The 21857-nt window shown below is 46.4% G+C and overlaps 1 protein-coding gene and 1 long non-coding RNA gene across 2 annotated transcripts in view, besides 1 other annotated feature; one reads left to right on the top strand and one right to left on the bottom strand.

Annotated features, from left to right (window-relative positions):
* Positions 15028-19688, bottom strand: SATB2-AS1 (SATB2 antisense RNA 1). The gene is made up of 2 exons (NR_026830.1): positions 19525-19688; positions 15028-18179 (listed from the first exon to the last, which is right to left on the bottom strand). It is a non-coding gene; the product is annotated as an SATB2 antisense RNA 1 (long non-coding RNA).
* Positions 16059-16248: a silencer, noted in NCBI's record as "silent region_12220". NCBI's record gives its function as "represses an Ori minimal core promoter by ATAC-STARR-seq in GM12878 lymphoblastoid cells {active_cell/tissue: GM12878}" and the evidence as "EXISTENCE:reporter gene assay evidence [ECO:0000049][PMID:35858748]".
* Positions 16520-21857, top strand: part of SATB2 (SATB homeobox 2) — a 201767-nt gene continuing 196429 nt past the window's right edge. Inside the window, exon 1 of the mRNA NM_015265.4 lies at positions 16520-16772. The gene's annotated coding sequence lies outside the window, so the exon portion shown is untranslated. The remainder of the gene's footprint in view (positions 16773-21857) is intronic.

Here is a 21857-nt window from a genome sequence, read left to right as displayed (position 1 = left end):
GAGTTCCAAGGGAGCCATAAAGGTACACCAGTGGATTTCAGCATTTGAGAAAGTCTCTCAAATGTCATATGTTTACTTCTCTGAAATAAAACTGCACAGAAAAAGAAAACATCAACTGTCTTTTGCTTTTGGCTGAAATTGTATAAACTCACCAGTTGAGACATTGGCCATACGGAGATGAGGAAGAGCTGGTCCCTATTTTCAGGGTTTTCTCTGTCTAGCAGGATACTTGGTAAGTACTCAACACATGCTTGTTGAATTAAATTCAGAGCCAAGAAACACTTGAGGTGATTACATTCACTAACTCTGTCATCCTTAAATGGCCAGATCCTGCAGTTATCCCTTGTCTTGGCCACTGCACTGTCCCTACTCAAGAAGATGCAGGCCAGGCATGGTGGCTCATGCCTGTAATCCCAGCACTTTGGGAGGCTGAGGCAGGCAGATCACCTGAGGTCAGGAGTTTGAGACCAGCCTGGCCAACATGGTGAAACCCCGTCTCTACTAAAAAATACAAAAATTAGCTGGGCATGGTTGCACATGCCTGTAGTCACAGATACTCGGGAGGCTGAGGCAAGAAAATCACTTGAACCTGGGAGGAGGTGGAGGTTGCAGTGAGCCAAGATTATGCCACCGCCTGCACTCCAGCCTGGGTGACAGAGCAAGGCTCTGTCAAAAAAAAAAAAAAAAAGTTTAAGTTCCTATTGAAATACAAAAGTTTCTAGGAGAAGAGGGAGGAACTTGTATATTTCAAACATATTGTGTGTGGGGTGTGTGTGGTGCTTGGCAGTTAATAAAGGGAAGAGTAGAGAGGCTTAACTCTTCTAATTCCCTCTTATTACCATGGAGCCTCAGGTTATCTTGTTAGCAGTTTGGAAACCTTGGAAACTTGGCTTTGAGGATCTAGGAAACAAAATGGCACTGGGCAAAGACTGTTATGCATGGCAGTGACTTACTTTAGTGCTATGCTGTCCAATCCAGTAGCCCCCAGCCACATGTGGCTCTGGAGCCCTTGGAATTCAGCTAGTCCAAAACTGAAATGTATTATAAATATAAAACACATACTGATTTTCAGAGTTAGTGTGGGGAAAAAAAGAACATGAAATATCTGAACAATGTTTTGTATTGATTACATGTTGAAAATATTTTAGAGGCCGGGCACGGTGGCTCATGCCTGTAATCCCAGCACTTTGGGAGGCCGAGGCGGGCGGATCACGAGGTCAGGAGATCGAGACCGTCCTGGCTAACATAGTGAAACCCCATCTCTACTAAAATTACAAAAAATTAGCCGGGCGTGGTTGCAGGCGCCTGTAGTCCCAGCAACTCGGGAGGCTGAGGCAGGAGAATGGCGTGAACCCGGGAGGCGGAGCTTGCAGTGAGCTGAGATCGTGCCACTGCACTCCAGCCTGGGCGGCAGAGCGAGACTCCGTCTCAAAAAAAAAAAAAAAAAAAAAAAAAAAAGAAAAGAAAATATTTTAGATATGTTGGGCTAAATAAAATACATTATTAAAATTAATTCTACTATTTTATTTTTAAAAGATGGCTACTAGAGCATTTAAAATTACATAAGTTGCATTATATTTGTATTGGACAGCATGGCTCTAGTGGCTAGGAGGACAGACCCCCACCTAGAGGGCGCTAAAGTCCAGTGCATGGGCAGAGGTGCTACCGAATGAGACTGCAAAGGCAGGAATGTCACTATGAGAAAAGGGTGGCCTCAAAGCAGGGGGAGTAACAAAAACTCCCCAACGTGTCTGGTTTGCAGCCTGGCTAAACACACAGGAATTTCCAGCTTGTCTTCCCATCCCAAGCACTTTGATTTCGTTTGTGTGGACTCCTGTCCTAGAGAATGGTGTGGGGATGAGGTGCAGCTCTCTATGACTCTAACTAGATTTGACTTGGGGTTAGCTTCTGAGATGATACCAGGTTCTACATGTGGAATCTACGTTGTAGATTACTGAGATGTTGGATATGAGCTTGTTACCACATCAAGCTTAGGAAAGCTGATAATTCTGTTTATTTGGTTGATATAAAAATTTCAGATAATACATTTTATGTGTAAGAACTTGCTTTATTGTTTTTCTAAACTGACATTGTGGTTTGACTCATAGACATTGATATCAAAGCAGGAATAGCTGAATTTTGCATAGTACTTTACAGTTTTCAAAGTCCTTTTCAGCAAATTATCACTTTTTATTGTCACAACATCTTGTGAGGCAGACAAGGCATGTATAGATTTTTATCCATATGTTATAGCTAAGAAACCAAAAAAAAGGTTGCCTTGACCAGCATTTAAAAGCTGTTAAGTGACAGAACTAGTGATGGATCATGGAAGATCTGATTGGATACCTTGGCTTCTGGTCTCTGGTGGCTTCTACTGGTGCATAGAGGGTGACTGAGGTGGGGCAGGGAATGAGTGGTCCATAGTTGCCTGAATTCAAGCAATTATGTCCCCTTAAGGGTGAGGAAAATAATTTATAGGGTTTGGATGTCAAGATTTGGAAAGCTGCCTTTAGGAAATGGAGGGAAGGAGCCTAATTGGAGTACTGCCTTCACTCAGCATGAATGGCTTTGAAGTCCCTGTCTCTGTTTGATTCCTTCAGCAACCTCCCTGCTCTGAAAGGCCCTGCTGGTTCCTCTGCTTTAGGCAGAGCCCAGCAGAGGGTGCTGGGAGCCTACTTCAGGATAGGATGGGTGCCAGACCTGTCCACTTTGCAGAGATGGTTCACTGGAAGAGGAAGAAACCTAAGAAAGGAATGGTTGTTAGAGCTTTCCCATCAGCAGAGTGATGATGATGGTGACCATGATAGAAGCAGAAGCCTGGATACACCTGGGGGGTGTAGTGCGATCTGGAAATGTTAGATGGTCCGGAGCAAATTTCCTCAGTTTCCATTATTTGTTTAAGTCTTGAAATGGCAGCCATGAACAAGCAGGGAATGTGAGACAGAGAAGTTAGGAAATCAAAGGCCTGGGGAAAATGGTAGCAATGATCTCTACATCAATGCCACAGATGCCAATTGTTCTTGGCCACACTTTTGTGTTGTATTTAGAGATTACCATGATTCTGACATGAATATGTTGTAAAAATAGGTTCAGCAACTTGCCTAGCTCCCAGCAAATCATTGCACAGACAAACTTAGAACCATTCGACAGAGTGACAGAGTCAAAGTGGACCCAAGGGATGTTTCCATCAAATGCTTTCACTTCCTAAGAAGGAAAATGAGAACCAGGGAAGGGAGAATACTTACCAAAGGTCACACAGCTAGTAGGGACGTGTCAATATCATGGTCAAGAATACAGGTGATGGGGCTGGGCAAGGCGACTCACGCCTATAATCCCAGCACTTTGGGAGGCTGAGATGGGCAGATTGCCTGAGGTCAGGTGTTCGAGACCAGCCTGGCCAACATTATGAAACCCCATGCCTACTAAAAATACGAAAATTAGCTGGGTGTGGTGGTGAGCACCTGTAATTCCAGACACTCAGGAGGCTGAGGCAGGAGAATTGCTTGAACCTGGGAGGTGGAAGATGCAGTGAGCTGAGATTATGCCACTGCACTCTAGCCTGGGTGAAAAAGTGAGACTCTGTCTCAAGAAAAAAACAAAAAACAAAAAACAAAAAACAGGAGATGGCTGGGCCTGGTGGCTCACACCTGGAATCCCAGCACTTTGGGGGGCTGAGGTGGGCAGATCACCTGAGGTCGGGAGTTCAAGACAAGCCTGGCCAACATGATGAAACCCCATCTCTACTAAAAATAAAAAAACTAGCCAGGTCTGGTGGCACATGCCTGTAGTCACAGCTACTCAGCAGGCTGTGACTACAGGCTGAGAATCACTTGAGATCAGAAGGTGGAGGCTGCAGTAAGCTGACATACTACCACACCCCAGCTTGGGTGACAGAGCAAGACTGTCTCAAAAAAAAATTTTTTTAAAGTCCAGGCGCGGTGGCTCATGCCTGTAATTCCAGCACTTTGGGAGGCCAAGGCGGGCAGATCATGAGGTCAGGAGATCGAGACCATCCTGGCTAACACAGTGAAACCCCATCTCTACTAAAAATACAAAAAATTAGCCGGGTGTGGGGGTGGCGGGTGACTGTAGTCCAAGCTACTTGGGAGGCTGAGGCAGGAGAATGGCATGAACCCGGGGGGCAGAGGTTGCAGTGAGCAGAGATCATACCACTTGCACTCCAGCCTGGGTGACAGAATGAGACCCCGTCTCAAAAAAAAAAAAAAAAAAAAGAATACAAGTGATGAAATCAGATCTGGCTTCAAATTTGGGTTCTGACAATTATTTGTCCTGTGACTTTGAGTAAGTTATTTAACTTTTCTGATCTCATTTTCCTCATCTGTAAAATGGGAAAAGAAAGTATATCCCTCTAAAGGTTGCTGTGAGGATTTGGTGAGATAATAAATGTGAAACATTTACAAATTACCTACTAATAGTAAACATTCAATAAATGATAACTACTATTATAATTAGAACTCAGCTTTTCTGATTTCCAGATCACAATTCAATTTTTAGACCGTGCGGCCTCCCTCAATCCCACTCAAGTCTCTGCATACCTATTATTAGTTCTGCTATAATATCTTCATGAAAGACTGTATGAATTATACAATGATGGAATGAATGACAGTAGGTTTATTTGACTTCACAATTTCCCTACATATAAAATATGATTAAACTAGTTGGGCTACAGAAGGACTCCTAAGCCGAGTGGCTTAAGCAGGATAGGAGCTTGTTTTTCTGGTGGGACAGTCTGCCTTCTTCAATGATTGAGTCTTGGCCGGGCGCGGTGGCTCACGCCTCTAACCCCAGCACTTTGGGAGGCCGAGGAGGGTGGATCACCTGAGGTCAGGAGTTCGAGACCAGCTTGGCCAACATGGTGAAACCCCATCTCTACTAAAAATACAAAAATTAGCCAGGCGTGTTGGTGGGCACCTGTAGTCCCGGCTACACGGGAGGCTGAGGCAGGAGAATCGCTTGAACCTGGAGGCAGAGGTTGCAGTGAGCTGAGGTCGGTCTCACTGCAACCTCTCATTTGTGGACACACAACTAGCCTGGGTGACACAGCAAGACTCCATCTCAAAAAAAAACCAAAAAAAAAAAACCAACAAAAACAACAGTTGAGTCTCTTCGCACGTTCAAAGTGGCTTCTTAAATTGTTATTTTTTTTCAGGCAGACAAATAGTTCAAGAAGGTGCATGCTTGATTTTTTTTTTCTAATTTTATTTTAATGTTTTAGATGGAGTCTTGCTCTGTTGCCAGGCTGGAGTGCAGTGGCGCAATCTTGGCTCACTGCAACCTCTGTCTCCTGGGTTCAAGCGATTCTCCTGCCTCGACCTCCTGAGTAGCTGGGATTACAGTTGCCCGCCACCATGCCCAGCTAATTTTTGTATTTTTAGTACAGACGGGTTTTCACTATGTTGGCCAGGATGGTCTCGATCTCCTGACCTCATGATCCACCGACCTCAGCCTCCCAAAGTACTGGCCTTATTTTAAAATTAAGACTAAGAGTAGCACCCATCACTTATATCATTTAATTGGCCAAAACTTGTCACTTAGCTGCAAGGGGAGCTGGGAAATATAGTCTTCCTCCACTGGGAAGTCATGTGACCTGATGAAGACCTGAGAACAATATTGAGAACCTGAAGTTGGTCACAAGCTTCTTACTATTATAGCAATGAGAGCTACTCTTAATATAAGTGGTGTTATGTATTTCTGAAGATCCATCCACCTCACTTTTCACCACACCAAAAAATACATTGCCTGGAAAAGTATCTTCTCTTTAAACAGTTTCATTATTTGTTGTGATTCAAAAGTAATGTAGAGGCTGGGCACAGTGGCTCACACCTGTAATCCCAGCACTTTGGGAGGCCGAGGCAGGAGGATCACCTGAGGTCAGGAGTTCGAGACCAGCTCGGCCAACATGGTGAAACCCTGTCTCTACTAAAAATACAAAAATTAGCCGGGTGTGGTGGTACATGCCTGTAATCCCCAGCTAGTCGGGGAGGCTGAGGCAGGAGAATTGCTTGAACCCACGAGGCAGAAGTTGTAGTGAGCTGAGATCGCGCCACTGCACTCCAGCCTGGGTGACAGAGCGAGACTCCATCTCAAAAAAAAAAAAAAAAGAAAAAAAAAAGATAATTTTAGAGACTGAGAAGTTGCTGGTGGTTATAGACAGCCATCCCCTTTTTCTGCTCCTTTTCCCTTTCCTAGGACTGAAAATATCCACAGAAGTGATAAAAACACCAAGCATTCTCTTCCGATAACTGCATTGCACAGAGTCCTCCCAGCCTATTGGAGTCCTTGCCATAGCTATTTTGCGGGAGGGGAGGGAAAGAGCAAGAAAGTTGCTACCTCAGGCTCCTTGGTTCTGCTTTAGTTTATAATAGCCCAGTTGGCTGAAGTGGGACAAGGGTTTCCAGCATGGTATCTCCCCTTAAGCTGCCAAAGAGTATGATAAAGAATTGCTACTGCAAAACAGAGCTGGAAAATGAGTGTGAGAACCATGAAGCAACTGAGAAAAGTGATTTGCCAGTGGAGACGGAGAGAGCAAACATTGAAGTGCTGTGGTGAATTACGAAATGTGGATCCTGTTTTGACCATTTGGGGGCTACATTCTCTTCCCTGAAGGAGATGCTCATCCAGCACATAGCTAACCCAGGAGCACCCTCTACACCTGCTCAGTTTGAAAGACTTCAGGAAGTCAGTCCAAGAGTCTGAATCCATGAAAGTGTTTCTGAAAAGCTGAAAAACAGTTTCCAGTATCTCTTATGCAGATAGTAATTTCTAGAACTTTAGTACTCTCTGGACATACTTTGGGGATATTTTACTGGGATCAGAACAGTTTCTGAGACACTAGGTAATTCAGGCTCTGAAAGAAAACAAATGGGAGAGGTAAACCCAGGCAAAGATTCTGATTCCTATGCCCAGGGGTAAGGACTCCAATAGGCTGGGAGGACTCTGTGCAATGCAGTTATCAGAAGAGAATGCCTGGTGTTGCCGTCCTCTTGAAGATCTCTCAGATCCAGCCTTTCCTCCCTGTTCCCACTGCTACTGGGCCTGGCTCTCAGGATTCTCACAGGCTTATCTTGCTGCCTATCTTGCTGGTAACTTGTCTCCTTGCCACTCACCTTTTGTTCCTCGAAGCTGCATATTATTGCCACAATAATTCCCCAAATCCTTTTCATTGTGAGCCTTCTTTACTTCAGAATGCACCAAGTAGTTATTAGAGTTGTATTATATTTCTTTTTTTATTTTTTGTTGGAGCTGATGTTTTCATTTTTCTTACTGTATTTTTAAATGCTTGTACAATAAGTATGTATGACTTTTGGAAGAATGAACAAATGAAGTCAGTTTTCAATGCCTCAAAAGTTGGGGGATGGGAGACACAGTCAGGAGCTACTTTGGCTCTAGGTTCTTTTCTGACAAGTCTAAATGTTTTGGGTAGCATTTGAAGCCTCCATAAACAGTCCTACTCTAACTCTCAAATGTGCTCTTCCCCAGCCCTTCATCCTGGACTCTGAAGGAAAGCCTGGATAGTTTGCTTACAGCACCCAGCTTCTGCTCTTGTCAATCCTGGCCCTCACAGCTTACTTAAGTCACAGCCGTTTTTCCGGATCTCACCTTCCTGGACCATATTAATTATTATTTTTTCTTTTTTTTTTTTTTTTTTGAGACAGAGTCTTGTTCTGTTGCCCAGGCTAGAGTGCACTGGCACGATCTCGGCTCCCTGCAACCTCCACCTCGCAGGTTCAAAAAATTCTCCTGTCTCAGCCTCCTGAGTGGCTGGGATTACAGGTGTCTGTCACAATACCCGGCTCATTTTTGTAGTTTTAGTAGAGATGGGGTTTCACCATGTTGGCCAGGCTGGTGTTGAACTCCTGACCTCAAGTGATCTGCCTGCATGAGCCTCCCAAATTGCTGGGATTACAGGTGTGAGCCACTGTGCCCAGTCTGGAGCATATTAATTCTTAAGCTTATCTGTCACATCTATGACATTTTATTTATGTCTGTACCACATCCCTTGGAAAATTGATTATGTCATTTTAGTTGTTGCCAACTATTTTATTGGTGTGAATCTTGTATCCTAAATAAATTCCAAGTTATTTGAGGACAAGGGTGAGATCTTGTAAATTCCTTGCTTTCCTCACACCATCTGGCATAGTTCTAAACATATAATAGATATTCCATTGATAATTATATTTTGAGAACTTTATTTACATCTTTGCTAGATGACTTAACATGTGTCAGACCACTGTGTCATCCTTCTCACAAATATTTGTAGGGAGACTTTATAGGGATGGTGATCATAAATACAAAGGAATAGAAAACTAATGGGGGGACTTGGGTGTCAGTAACAAGCTGACTGTGTAGCCTTGAGAAACATCAACTTTGCCCTAACTTGCCAACCAACCACTCTCCGTGTGACTCTTGTTGACTGTTCTCATCACTGCTCCATCTTCTGTCCTTAGCAAACTGTGAACCTCATTGTCTATACCAGGTTTCTTCCCCTATTATTTGTGGACAGCTCTGTTCATTTGTCTTATTTTCATCAGCATTGGAGGTACCTTTTTCTCCATGGAACAGGCCTCACATTTCTTTTTCTTTTTCTTTTTTGTTTTTTTTTTGAGGCAGAGTTTCACTCTTGTTTCCCAGGCTGGAGTGCAATGGTGCAATCTTGGCTCACCACAACCTCTGCCTCCTGGGTTCAAGCGATTCTCCTGTCTCAGCCTCCCGAGTAGCTAGGATGACAGGCGCATGCCACCACACCCAACTAATTTGTATTTTTAGTAGAGACGGGGTTTCATCATATTGGTCAGGCTGGTCTTGAACTCCCGACTTCAGGTAACCCACCCACCGTAGTCTCCCAAAGTGCTGGGATTACTGGCTTGAGCTGTGGTGCCCGGCCTCCCAAATTTCATCAGTGGGTTAGAAAGCCCACCTCCTCTATGGCCTGGACTTTTAAATATGCTAATCCTCTGCAATAGTCACAAAAAATATGAACTTTTGTCATTGTACATATGGCTATAAAACCTCTGTTTAGTTTACTCATGTATTTTGTCCATTATCTGTGTGATCTAGCAGGATGTGATCCAAATAATAGTTGACCATAGATTGTAAACCCTGAGAGGGTGCAATGTTGTATTTTTTAATGTGCCTGGGGCAGCTCCTGGCTGGCAAAGGTATTTCAAAATGATTGCTAAATTGTGCCTTTAGAAAAGGCCATGAACTTAAAAACCCTTCTTTGACTTCTCACTGTTATACTAATGACAGAACCAGATAGAAGGAAACTATGAGTAGCTCCGATCTTAGTTAAGTCCCATTCCTGATTAGCAGTGTGACCTTGTGCTAATTATCTAACCTCTCTAAACTCACTTTTAGAAGGAAAATGTAGATGATAATAGTACCTAACTCATAGTATTGTTGTGAGGATTAAGTGAGATAACACATGTAAAGTGCCTAGGAAAATTCATAGCTATCAATTTTGTAGTTGTTTTCATTATTTCTTAAGATAAAAGACAAGCTGGGCGCAGTGGTTCACGCCTGTTATCCCAAAAGTTTGGGAGGCTGAGGCAGGCAGATCATTTGAGGTCAGGAGTTCGAGACCAGCCTGGCCAACATGGTGAAACCCCGTCTCTACTAAAAATACAAAAATTAGCCGGGTGTGGTGGTGGGTGCCTGTAATCCCAGCTACGTGGGAGGCTGAGGCAGGAGAATCACTTGAACCCGGGAGGCAGAGGTTGCAGTGAGCTGAGATCGTGCTATTGCACTCCAGCCTGGGCGACAAAGCGAGACTCTGTCTCAGAAAAAAAAAAAAAAAAAGATAAAAGACAGCTGAGTAATAAATGAATAAACCAGTAGCTTCTCAGTATAGCTGTTGAATTAAATTGGATCTGTGAAGTCTCTAATATCAGCAGAAGCCTGCACCTTTCAGTCAATTAAGTTGGGTGGCTATTATCCAGAGCCATCCCCTTTTTCTGTCCTGTCTCCCTTTCCTAGGACTGAAAATATCCACAGAAGTGATAAAAATGAATGGCTGTTTTGTAGGATGGGGAGGGAAAGAGCAAGAAAGTTGCTACCTCAGGCTCCTTGGTTCTGCTTAGGTTATAACAGCCCAGCTGACTGAAGTGGGACAAGGGTTCCCAGCACAGCATCTCCTCTTAAGCTGCCAAAGAGTATTGATTGCTAAAAGGCAATCAATTTTTGTTTGGTTTGTGGGAGGGAACATAGTCTGCAAGGTCACTGAAATTTTATTGTTGGAATGTTTTAAACCAATGTAAATGTGGAGGCAGAGTTCACAAAGAACACAACATTGAATCAAAGAGAAAACCAGACAGAGCAGCATCTTGGGTGCTTTTCTTCTGACATTCTCTTTTTGGGCCTGACAACTCTTTGCATTTTGATAATTTACCTCTCAAGTCAAAGGCACTAGTAGGCCTGCCGACAGAGGACTTGACTTAGTGTGTGGACTTTGAGAAATCATCTGAAAAGAGACACAAAGCCACAGGACGGAGGCAGTGGGCCTTTAGCTGTTACTTCCTACAATCTGTTCTGCTTTTGTGAAAAGCTGGAGGGGCAGCTCTTTTGAGTCTTCATGCAGAACCCCCTGGATTTTCATTTGGTCTTGCAGGTAAGTGGGCAGAATGACTTGGTATTCTCATTCCTGGACATCTCAGCTTTGTCACTGCCCCCTCCTGGGGCTACTTGGGCTCTCAGTGTAGCAAAAAGAGCACAGCCCAGAGAAAAAGCTGACTACAGTAAGAACAGCATAGGAATTTATAAACTGGATGGAGAATATTGCCCAACTCAACAAGGTGTAACCATTTTCTTTCATAAAACCACATCATCGTAGAGAAAGAGAAACGGTAACGTTTTATTACTTTGTCAACACCAAACAAAACACTGTTAGCCACTGTGCAAGTTTAATTCAGAAGAGAGAGATGTTTCTCAGAGTAAGCCTGGGATCTTTTCAGCCATTTGGTACGACACCATTTGTTCCCGAATGAAAGACTAGAGAACACAGTTTCTCTGAGTCTCTTTTCCTCTTCTCTGACCTTGATAACTTCACATCTCTGGGACTGTATGATGAAAAGTTCTACTTGCCCAAGCACAGCCTTCTATGAAAGACTTTGAAATGGCCTCTCAGCATATACTCCTGGTAACGTTGGCTCACCTTACCCAGCTGAGGAGCCTCTGGTGTACAGGAAGACAGGGTGCCATACAGCTGAAGAAAAGGAACTAGTGAGATGCTTAATAAAATCCAGAGACAGTTCATTGCTACTGAAGTAATAGGGTTGTTTGAGTGATGTTGTCTAAAAGAAAATGGATCAAAGAGAACAATGTGACTCAATCTTCATCTCCTTATTCAAATCCAGTAATTTGCAGTGTGAATTGAGTCAACTGGATCAGCAATTCCCACATCACAATAATATACTCAACATTTTACTGAACACTTTCTGAGTTTTTACTATGTTCCAAGAACTGTTCTAAACAACTTACAGGTAATATTTCATTTAATCCTCACAATTTTCTGAGACCCATTTGACAGATTAAAAAAATGAGGCTCAGAGAGTCTCAAGCTGATCTCTCCAAGTTTACACAGCTAGTAAATGGCAAAGACAGAATTAACTTACTCTGTAGGTTTAAAATCTTAAAGCATAATTCGTTTCCTTCAATATTTCCAGAAATTTTAAGAATCTTTAATAGTAATTGTGGGAAGATGGATACTATTGTTTAAATAATTTTTTTTTTTGAGACAGAGTCTTGCTCTGTCACCCAGGCTGGAGTGCAGTGGCATGATCTTGGCTCACTGCAACCTCCGCCTCCCCGGTAAAGTGATTCTCATGCCTCAGCCTCCCAAGTAGCTGGGATTACAGGCATGTGCCACTATGCCCGGCTAATTTTTGTATTTTTAGTGGAGATGGGGTCTCACCATGTTGGCCAGGCTGGTCTGAAAATTCTGGCCTCAAGTGATCCTCCCACCTTGGCCTCCCAAAGTGCTGGGATTATAGGTATAAGCCACTGCACCTGGCCTAAATGAAAGCAGTCTTTTAAAAAGAGAGTCATTTCTTTCATCAGCTCCACATAACCTTCTTAAAGGTGGGCACAGTTCTTCTTTCTCCATCACACTTCCCTATCCAACATTTTCAACACCAGCCTGGGAAGGGAGGATTGGGCAGTGGAGAGGGGCTGGGGAGGGATGTATTGGGGGTAGGTAGGCAGTGTTCCAGATCATTCTTCCAGGGCATTCCCCGTCTAGTTTCTCCTCGGATAGCAAGAGCCTACAATCCAGGCTCAAGAGTGGGCAAAATGAACCATATGCTCTGAGGAGGGGAGAACCTCTCTTCACCATACCCTTCCCCCTACTCCAGCACACACAAGCATAGAAAAGTCAAGCATCATTGGTAAGCAGGGATTTTCTTTTTTTCTTTTTTTTTAATTGAGACAGAGTTTCACTCTTGTTGCCCAGGCTGGAGTGCAATGGCGCAATCTTGGCTCACTGCAACCTCTGCCTCCTCGGTTCAAGAGATTCTCCCGAGTAGCTGGGATTACAGTTGCCCACCACCACGCCCGGCTAATTTTTTGTATTTTTAGTAGAGACTGGGTTGCACTAGGTTGACCAGACTGGTCTCGAATTCCTGACCTTAGGTGATCCACCCGCCTCAGCTTCCCAAAATGCTAGAATTACAGGCATGAGCCACCACACCTGGCTGAGCAGGGATTTTCTAAATGATGGTGCTAAGCCTAGAGAATTGATATAAATGGATAGAAAGCTTGGAAGACAAAAATATTCCATTCTTCTTGAAGCGGGGAAAGGAAGCAGGAAAAACAAAGTAGCTAGCATGCAATTGTGCATTACAGTAAATCTTCCCTGTTACTCAAGGCAGCTCACCCATACAAGGGAGAGGAAGTCCGAGGTTTGTTTTTATTCATATATTTTCTGCTTCGCTGTAGATACTGTTGTGTGTGGTAATTCCTAGGCAGATGTTACAATGTGGAGTTTCTCCAGGCAGTTTAGTTGGCATTTTTAACAGGACTTGGATTAAAAGCCTTTCTTCTCAAAAACCGGTTCAGTGATTGAGGCTGAAAGGAGCCCTGCTTTGAAACCCTCTCCTAAAAAACCTAAGACAATCAGAGCAGCCTTACTTTCTTTATTGTCATGGGTCTGCTGTGAACCATCACAGGTTTAGCCCACAGGACACTCTCAGAGACTCCCTGCCCCACCCAAGGTGAGAAGTCATACCAGTCCATGGACCACAGAAGACCCCTTGTGAGATTCCCAGCAAGCGTCAGTCTTAGAGATACTACTGTGCTTATAGGACCCCAGAGCAGAGTTTATGGGGTCCTGTGTTTGAAAGCAACAGTACATACACCACTTACTTTCCTGTGATGTTCCTCTTTTCCTCACGCTCCCCTTGTAGGCTAACTGAAAACCTGCTGCTCTTTGACTTCTAAAAGGCTTAAATTGGAAGAGTAAATAAAATGATAAGGAGAAGAAAAGGCAGGTTGATCAACTGAGTGGCCTCAAAGTCATCTCATTATGAATTTCTGTAAGCAATGCTTCTGAATTGTCAATTTTATCAGCCAAATGTAATTTTTGTGTGTCTGCGTGTGATAGAATAAGTATTGCACATCTCAGCCAGCCTATGCCTTTCATTCTTCTCCTCAATTCCCAAACGACTTTGAAGAAGGGAAATCAATAAATCAATTGGTACTTTGTCCAATACCCATTTCAATGACATCACAGCACCATTTGCTAAAGATTGGACATTAGTTACGGAAAAAGACTGAGACACTTTCATTTGTTAATGTATCTCTGCCTTTGTGAACAAGAATACAAAAAGGAATAGTGAATTGACCTTGTAAATAGTAATTTTTGTTTTGATCCTATCAAAAAACAAAAAGGGGATAATTATAGAAAGGATGATAAAATATCATTTATATCCCAGGATTTATGATAAAGTCAGTGGGTGGTATATTTTGGGCTTATCCTATAATATTCCATTCAAAAAAATTTCCCTACTTTTGCTAAATCAATTTTTTATTAGATTTTTTTTTCAAATCTTATTTTAGAAATTCCTTCCTGTTGGTTCTTAAAAATGACACCAAAATGTGATATTTAAAAATCTATAAACAAACACTTAAATTAAGGACTAAGTTAGGTCTGGTTTTTGGAGAAAAAATACACAACTTGGGAGAATGCTTTTATAATACCAACAATCCCACCTTTTTCATTGTTTTGTTTGTATATTCATTCATTTAATCACATATTTGCATATATCCAATATTTTTTGTTTTGCTTTGAGACAGGATCTTGCTCTATTGCCTAGACTGGAGTGCAGTGGCACAATCTAATTGCAACCTCCCCCTTCAAGCAATTCTTCTGCCACAACCTCCTGAGTAGCTGGGATTGCAGGTGCCCCCCACCACGCCTGGCTAATTTTTGTATTTTTGGCAGAGACAGAGACGGGGTTTCACCATGTTGGCCAGCTTGTCTTAAACTCCTGGCCTCAAGTGATCCACCTGCCTTGGCCTCCCAAAGTGCAGGGATTATAGACGTGAGCCACTGTGCCTGGCCTCATATATCCAACATTATTAAACAGGGATAAAACAATAAAACTGGCCAGGCATGGTGGCTCACGCCTCTAATCCCACACTTTCAGAGGTCGAGGCAGGTGGATCACCTGAGGTCAGGAGTTCGAGACCAGCCTGGCCAATATGGTGAAACTCCATCTCTACTAAAAATACAAAAATTAGCTGGGCATGGTGGCAGGCGTCTGTAGTCCCAGCTACTTAGGAGGCTGAGGCAGGAGAATCGCTTGAACCCAGGAGGCAGAGGTTGCAGTGAGCCAAGATAGCACAACTGCACTCCAGCCTGGGTGACAGAGTGACACTCCGTCTCAAACAAGAACAAAAACACACAAAAAAGCAATGAAACTATATTTTTCTAGTCTTTCCCCCAGATATGTCAATGTTATATGTAACTTCATTCCTAAAATTCAGCCTCCCTTGGAAGCAACTGCTACACTCTTAAAGATCTTCCAGATTTTGCTTTTATTACAATAGTGTTAAAGGAGTATGCCTAACTAAGAACGACAAAATATGCGGGAACATAATAATCACAATGATAATGAGTGCTCTGTAGTCAAACTTACTGGACTGAGAGTAAGAAGAGGAGAGTTCCAGTCTCAGCTCAGTGCATGGGGCGTTTCTCATCTGGAGTATGATTCTTTGCTTCTACTCAGTTCAAGCTCCTCACCAGTAAACTTTAGGTTTCCTTCCAAGTTTGAAATTCTTTGTTTTTTATGATTCTCTTTCAAGAGGCCTTGATGACTTGGCATTAGGAGAGTTGTTATGAGTTGTGGGTTCCCAGCGAAAGATGGATTTGTGTATAAGCAGATCCTGCAGTCTTTTATCTGTGGGAGTATTGACCAGGAAGTCTCTGGCCGTTCAGCACAGGTGTACGGCCACACTGGGTGCAGTGGAGTGGTCTGCAGGTTCACAGTCTAACTGTTTTCCCCTTGACCTTGGTTTAGTCTTGTTCTCTAAATATCAGTCATACCTTAAAATGAAAGCCTGTAAACCCTTACTTAAGTCTATAGAGTCAGAAAGAGAGAGACTCTTTTGCTGACATTACTGCAGCAAAACTGGCAAGTCTCATCTGAGCTCCTATGCTCAGCTCCTATGCTGGGATCACCTAAAACTCTTGGAAATAAGTGACTTGGAAAATACAGTGAGAAGGTATTAGGTCACCTAAAATATTAAAAGGGCTCAAAATTTGTGGAACTGAGACTAATTCTAAACCACTGCTATACACATACATACACACTCGTACATATTTACATATGGCATACGTATATATATGGGCAAACACATGTAATGGATATATTATATATGGATATGGGCAAAGGAGGTGATCTCACCTACAAATTTTTCAACAATATTTAGACCTAGAGAATATAATTAGTTCTCCCCCATCTTCTTTGCTCTGCAACAACGGGGAATTAGGAGGGAGCTTGGCCGTCTGTTCCCTTCTCTGCTCATGGCGCCTTATCTGGAGAGCAGGTGGAGTCCTCCCGAGCTCTGTGCTGAGAGTCCCGGCCGCTGGCAGCAGGGCCGCCCCGAGGCCAGAACACAATCCGGCCTGGCGCCCGCGGCGGCTCCCCCTACCGGGAGTCCGGAGCAGCGCCGATGGCTTGGTCCCGGGTGGCACAACCTCTCCCAGCCGCCCGCTCCTTGGAGGCTTCGCCGGAGGGATCAGCGAGCTACCGCCCGCCGGGCCGGACCGCGCAGAGCGGAAGCGCTCCGCCCGGGTAACAAGCATTTTCCAGCACAAGAAATTAGTTGCAAATAAACATCTGAAACGCCGGTTCTGTAAACCAAGTGCCCACCGCACGCCTCTAAACGGGCGGGGCCGTGGGGGTGGTGGGGGTGAGAATGGTGGGAAAGATGCTGGGCCTGGGAAGGAGCCAGGGGTAGGGGTGGATGCAGGGAGGCGCCCCACCAAGCGCTCCCCGAGTTCAGAGGCGCTTAAGTTACCAAGGGATTAGGGCTGATCTCAGGAGAGGTAAACGACCATCCTTGGAACACGGAGCCCTTCTTCCCTGCCCGGTATCTGCGCGTGCCTTGGGTAGTCCGCACAACCCTCCCCAGCTCCGGATGCCCTGGGATACCCGGACCCAGGAGAGAGCGCGTCAGCGGGGCGCAGCTACTTTGCACTCGCCGATTCTGACACAACAGATAGTTAATTGGGGCCTTCGAAATCAAGGACTAAGGTGAGCAGAGGAGTCCCCCAGCCCCTGGCTGTAGCCTTTGGGACTTCTCTCCCGCGTCTTGGGTCAGAGCAGCGTCCGCAGCAAAGTCCTTTGGGGTGAAAGACCCGGGTGCGAATTAGTTTCAAAGTGGGAGGTTGCTTACACGTGAGCGGGGTCGCCAGCTCTTTGAAGGGCGCACGGTGCGGAGGCTCCGGCAAGGGTGCAATTCCCGTGCGCGTGTTAGCGCAATGCGCACTCCGCTGGGCCCAAGCAGTCATCAGTTCTGCCAAGTGGGTGCTGCTCCGGGTACCCACTGGTGTGGTGGGTAAGTCGGGAGCAGAATAATGAAGCGCATTACCTGGGAAGCCAAATTTGCAAAGCTTAACCCAATCCTCCTCGGGGGCACTTCTTGTAGAATAAGCTGTTGGTGTATAGCAGCCATACATTTAACAAATATATGGGCATAAAAAATGATAGAAAATAATAGGGTGAAGGTTTGACCCGCCACCAGGCTTCTTGCCCTCGCCTCTTCCGCAGGCCGAGGGCAGTTTTGAGTCAAGTGCAATACGCAGTGGGTGTCACCCAACCTCTCCTGGCTCTGCTGAGGTCGTGATCCCTCTGACCCAAGCAGAAACCCTCCAGCTTCGGAGCAGCCCGTCGCCTCCGTGCCCCAAGTTGGCATCCCGAGACCAAGCTCCAGGGAGTCGGGGGTAAAGAAAGGCCGATGCTCAGAGCGTCCCCAGCATCTTCCTGGGGATCCTCCGCGGCAGGGGCTGCGACCTGTGTGTGGAAGAGTCGTCTTAGCCCTTTCCGTTATGGGGCTCTCAGGCAACAAGATTCCACGGGAGACTGTGACGACCTTCTCCAGCTGCCCAGACTTTCTTGCCCGACTGGGCTGAACCCGAGCACAGAGACTGGTGTCTTCCCAGCCACACAATCTTGATTCCCAGCCGGGTGACCAGCTTGGTCTAGGGAGTGAAGGAAGGGGGTAAAGGGGAGAGGAGGAAGGGATTCGTTTCCTGTCTGCTTTCTTCTCTCTGCCTTCTCAGAAGCTGTGCTGTTACAGAGAAAAACTTTCTAAACTACCTCCCCATTTTTCTGGAAGGTGTTGCACACATCTCCCCTTCCCTCAATACACACAGCTTTCTCTACCCCCTGCTCCTCCCACTTTCCGGAAAAATGTAATAGGTGTGAACATCGACTAAGCCCAGTGTCAGTAGCACAGCAACAAGCTAATGTGGGAAGGGGTTTCGCTGGTGTTTATTTCTGAAGTTGCTGATATACTCGTGGCAAGGGAGCTTGGCTTGTTGCAGAGTACGAAGCCAAGCCCGGGGCGCCTAGGCTGTGAACACCTCGCGCGAACTTGGTCCGGCCTCTAGGTCCCTGGCCTCGGGCCCTTATGCTCTGCCGGGGGCCAGGATCAGGTTCCTAAGAAAACAGAAGAGTCAAATAAGTGATCTCGCTACTTTACGCTCCCTGCCCACCCCCACCCCCACCACCACTTTTCTTTTCTTCTTTTCTTTTTTGGTTGATGGTCTGTCTGTACTGAGCGGGTATCCCAGAGCTGAGGTGCAGGAGTAGTGAGCGATGCCGGGGCTGGCTTTCCTAGATTTAGGAACCGCCGGGGGGCGGAGGAGAGTCGAAGGGGCATCCACTTCTTTGGAGGGAGGACGCCGTTTACTTCCCGCAGACGACGGGCGGGAAGACCTCGGAGCTGAGGGCTTCTTGGGGTGGCTCTTTGAGCAGGTAATTCTGCGGCGAAATCGAGAGCGGGTGACTGACACGCTCGGTGACGACGGCCAGGCGGGGCAGCACCCTTTCCGGTTAACAAAATGATTAACCTTCCTGCCTTGCCTGTAGTGGGCTCTCCCCTCCTCCTTCACCCTCCCTTCCTCCGGGATTAGGGGGTGCTCTTTTCAAGGAGAGACTGGAGACTCGAGATGTGGGCCCTTTCTCGCCTCCGCGCGGCCTTTCCTCGGAGCCAGGCTGGGGAACCCGGTGAGGCACGCAGACCAGTCCCTTCGAGACGCCCGCCTCGCGGAATCGGGTTCACCGGCCCTGTCCCGCACGGTCCCCTGGGTCATCTCCCCCTGCAACCACTTGTCTGAAACTTACCAGATTCCAACCTTAAGGCAGGAAAAAAAGTGTTTCATATACAAACTGATCAGGGTATTTGCAGATAATTGCGAATGTCAAATACTCGGGCGTGATGACAAAGTGCAGAGATTGCCAGGGCCAGAGCTTGGCCTGAGGGGCGGGGGCTGCTGGCGGGGCTCCAGGGCCACCTCAGGCCTGCCCAGAGGCGGGCCTGCGAGGGGTAGAGCAGTCAGCCGCAACTGCCAACAGCCCATTTAACGAAGACGGCTGCTTCTTCTACCCCTCGGCTATGGAGCTGATTCATGGATTCATTCACTTAGTCTATACTGGAGCTCCGCTCAGGGAGGAGGTGCGAGAGTGGATACTGCACCAGCCCAGCTCTCTCTCCCTCACTCCCCACTCCTGATGCACAAATACCTCACTGCAAGATTCCCCACAGGTGGAATTGCTGGGCCTCAGTTGGATGCTTAGGCCCAAAGCGAAGGCCCTGCCAGGCGGTGCTCCCAGAGCTAATGTCCTGTGGCAGAGTAGGAAAGAGCTACAAGCCATTTAGGACAAACAAGTGCACCCTTTGATACTGAGGTTAGTCTTCAATAGAAATAAAGAGGGACATTAAAAAAAAAAAAAGGAAGAGGAAGAAACGAAATACTGGACCCACCCACCCCAGTCCTCCTACCGGGTTGCAGGAAGCCATCCTGGTGCCATCAGAGCCTGGGTGCAAACGGCCCACCAGAGCTGACCCTGCCAAGCTCTCAGTGACAGCAAAGGTGGCTGCTCTCAACAGCTTTCAGAGCAACTCCTCTGAGACCCTACTGCAGGCACACTCAGAATGTTTCAAGTGCCTTGGATTCTTAAAAAAAAAAAAGAGAGAGAGAGAGAGAAAGAAAAAGAAAGAAAGAAAGAAAGAAAAAAGAGTGGGGCGTGGAGGGTGGTGTTACTCTTGTTGGATTCCACATCTACTGAAAACTGAGTGGATCAATTATGGGTGATACCATGATGTTGGTGGCAAGTCTGGCTTCCCAGGCCAGAATCGCAGGGGTTTCAGGACCTGGATGCTGAGACCGAGAGGAGCAGTGGAGGCAGGGACACCCCATTCTGCATTAGGTGGCATAAGCTGCAGTCACTGAGGCCCTGGCCCCGGGGTCCTGTGTCCTAGGCCAACGTGGTGGTGGTGAGGGGGCTGGGAGGGGTATATTGCGGTAGGGATGCTGAAAGACCTTGACCTGACTGCCCTCTCCTTTCTGAGAGCTAAAGAATGTGGTGGGGATTCTTCCAAAGCCGGGAGAAGGCAAGACTAGTGTGTGCTAGTGGGTGCAGCTGGGCTGCAGAGGGAGGGAATTCCTGCCGACTACAGGGAGCCCTCTGTGCTTGTCTCTCTCCCCCGCCCTCAGCCCTCTTCCCCTTTCATTGAATGCCTGAAGTCAGAGCCTACCTGGAAACCCTCAAAATTTTACACTCCACTTGTCCGAGGTTTCCAATGATGACAAATTTGAAAAACGCTTCGGCTGAAGCCCGGCACCTAAGGCTGAGAGTTGGGGGGAGGGGAGGCTGTTGGATAAAAGCTCCTTGGAAAAGACACACTTGCCTCCCCCTTTTTCGCCACGCGGAAACTGGCCGGTCTGGACAAGGGATTGCGCTGGGCTAAGGCCTCGGGCTGGGGAGAGCTCCAGCAGCCTGAAAGCCGAATCCGCAGAAGTTATCCACCTGGCTCCTTAGCCACCGGCCAACAAGAGGGCTCTGGGCGTCCCGCCCTTCACGCCTGTATTAGAAAGGCCTGAGTCTGGCCGGGAGACCTGACTTGAGGTCTCTTGGGAGGAGCAGGGGGTGCCAGTTCTGCAGGGGACTTGCCCAGTTCCAGTGAGGCTGATGTAGAAAACAATAGCTCTGTCCTCAGCCTGGGCGGCCAGCCGGGGCCGCACGTGTAAGATGTGATTCTATCTGAGTTTCCAAATCTAAGTGCATTGATTGAGGCCCAAAGAGTTCACGGCGCATAACTGTCTTAATTAAACCTGCTATAAACAGACAAATCACTTCTTGTTCTTGTAAATAGAGCTTGGGGAGATGGCACAGGGTCTGGCAAAAGCCAGGCTTGGGGAACATTCTTAAAAAAGGAAAAGAGTACTGAGACACAGACAGAAAAAGAATAAAACTGGAGTATCCACATCTTCAGAAAATAGCTCAACTGAAACCAAAATATGCCATAGCAGGGAAGTAATGTGAGACACCCTAAGTTCCCAGAGCAGCTCAGTGGAGGCTGGTAGCCCAGGATGGGACCAATGGTGGAAAAGCAGGGAGCCGGAGAGACCACAGGTTGTTTGGGGGAGGACAGGTGCCCATTGCTGAGGCTCTGAGCTACTCTACTTGGCCCTGCACTTTCCTTGCCAATCCTTCCATCTTTCCCTGCCACTGATCTCAACTTCCTGATACTGAGAGACAGTGCTGGGAGGACAAGTACTCTCTCAACTTGGTCAGCTTGGGGGACAAGGGCTGGTCACCAAGAGCTCAGAGATAGCAACAACTGGGGATGATGGGTGATCATAGGAGTCCAGCGGGAGCAGATGGGAAGAAAAGTTGTCTGTGATCCTCTGGGAAAGCAGAAAATGGGGAGTATGTACACCCACAGCTCAGATTCTGCTGTCCCTAAGTGCCGGCAAGGGCTGGGGGATGATCTTGAGTAGGGTCAGGTGCTCCAGTGCCCCAGCTGTTGGGTGTCCAGAAGAGGTTAGGTGTGTGGTAGCTCTGGGAAGAATGCGCGAGACGTCCTTCACTTGGAATGTGCAAAGGGCCGGGTCTGTCTCCAAGTAACTCCGGGTCTCCGGAAGTTACCTGGCAGGGGCAGCCCTCAGCAGACTTTGGGTCTTACAGCATAAAACGAGACGAACTAAGGGGAGCCCACCACTTTTCTAGCTAAAAGTGGAAAGGAAAAGTTGTCTATAATATGTAAATACAGGAGATATGAGTGCACAGGTTTGGGTGGGTTCCTGGTAACTTCTGGAGCCGACTTTTCCC

Source organism: Homo sapiens, chromosome 2 (assembly GCF_000001405.40).
Source record: "Homo sapiens chromosome 2, GRCh38.p14 Primary Assembly".
NCBI classification, from domain to species: domain Eukaryota; kingdom Metazoa; phylum Chordata; class Mammalia; order Primates; family Hominidae; genus Homo; species Homo sapiens.
The sequence above is the reverse complement of the archived record's forward strand: the minus strand, read 5'-3'. Positions and strand labels throughout refer to the sequence as shown.